Below are 1,413 nucleotides of genomic sequence, written 5' to 3'. Positions count from 1 at the left end.
AGATACAAGCCATAGATTTTGGCAGCATTCACATGGTACTAATTCTGAAGGCACACAGAATGCAAGAAATGAGGGGGTATGGCTTTCTCAATACAGATTTCAAATAATTTGCAGACTGAATGAAAGCCTAGGCAGAAAACAGCCACAGAAATGGAGCCACCACAGAGAGCCCCTACTAGGGTAATGTTGAGCAGAAATGTAGAACTGGAGCTGCCACAGAGAGTGCCCAATAGAGCAATGCCTAGAGGGGCCATGAAAGTAGAGCCACCCCAAAGTCCCCAGAATTGTAGAACTATCGCCGTGCAACTGCAGCCTTGGAAGGCTGCATGCATGAGACATCCTGTGGGGGTCTGTCCTGCAGACTCCAGCTTGCCCAATAGATGAATAATGTACCCAGACACCAATATTTAGTGAAAGAGCAGCTAGGGGTCTGAGCCACTCACAGACACCAAGGAAGGTGCTATAGTCAGCAGCCATGACTTCAACTTGCTGGCCCTGCTGGCATTTATTCAGCACACATCAAATAACAAAGGTCTCAAGTAAACATCACTAGAAGGTAATTACCATTGCTGACTCCCCGCTTAGAGAGTAATCATGGACCCACGGATAGTCAAAGGTTAGTCTTAGGACCACATGAGTAAACAAGCTATTTAGATAGACTCCTCTACATTCCTATGTTAAATTACCCTTGCTATAGCTCAAAGAGGATTAGGCTGCCTTCAGCCATAACTCTCTCCTGAGGCTTTAGCAGAAACCTTCTGGCCTTCCAAGAAGATTTGTGTTTATTTTACAATTTCTCCCACCATCCTGATTGAACCCCTAAAACATCCAGCCCATCGGAGCTGCTGTGTGGGCCGAGCCCAGCAAAGCCTAAGGATGGGGCTGCCTGAAGCCTTGGCGACTCAACTCTCACCCCAGTGTGTCTAGGATGCAAGATACGGAGTCAAAGGAGATCATTCTACAGCTTTAAAACTTAGAGCCAGTTACCCTTCTTTTCTTGCCTATTTCTCCCTTTTGGAATGGAATGTCTATCCTATGCTTGTTCCACCATTGTATTTGGAAGTAGATAACTTGTTTTAATTTCACAGGCTCACAGCTGAAGGAATTTGCCTCAGGGTGAATCATGCCTTGAATCCCACCTCTAATTTAGATGAAACTGGGACTTTTAAGTTGATACTGGAGTAATTTAAGACTTTTGAGACTATTGGGATGGAATTACTACATTTTGCATGTGAGAAGGACACAAATTTTGGAAGTTGGGTTGGAACACTGTGGTTTACATGTGTCCCACAAGAGTGCATGTGTTAGAAATGTAATTGCCAATATAAAAGGATTAAGAAGTGGTGCCTTTAACAAGTGTGTAGTCATGGGAACTCCACACTTATGAATAGATTAATGCCATTATAATGGGAG

The 1,413-nt window shown here is 44.0% G+C and overlaps 1 annotated feature.

The window, feature by feature from the left end:
- Nucleotides 219–945: an enhancer, noted in NCBI's record as "OCT4-NANOG hESC enhancer chr8:112928926-112929652 (GRCh37/hg19 assembly coordinates)". NCBI's record gives its function as "activates a minimal SCP1, AML or CMV promoter by ChIP-STARR-seq in naive and primed H9 embryonic stem cells {active_cell/tissue: H9 hESC(naive and primed)}" and the evidence as "EXISTENCE:reporter gene assay evidence [ECO:0000049][PMID:30033119]".

This window comes from Homo sapiens, chromosome 8 (assembly GCF_000001405.40).
Source record: "Homo sapiens chromosome 8, GRCh38.p14 Primary Assembly".
In the NCBI taxonomy this organism is placed as follows: domain Eukaryota; kingdom Metazoa; phylum Chordata; class Mammalia; order Primates; family Hominidae; genus Homo; species Homo sapiens.
The sequence above is the reverse complement of the archived record's forward strand: the minus strand, read 5'-3'. Positions and strand labels throughout refer to the sequence as shown.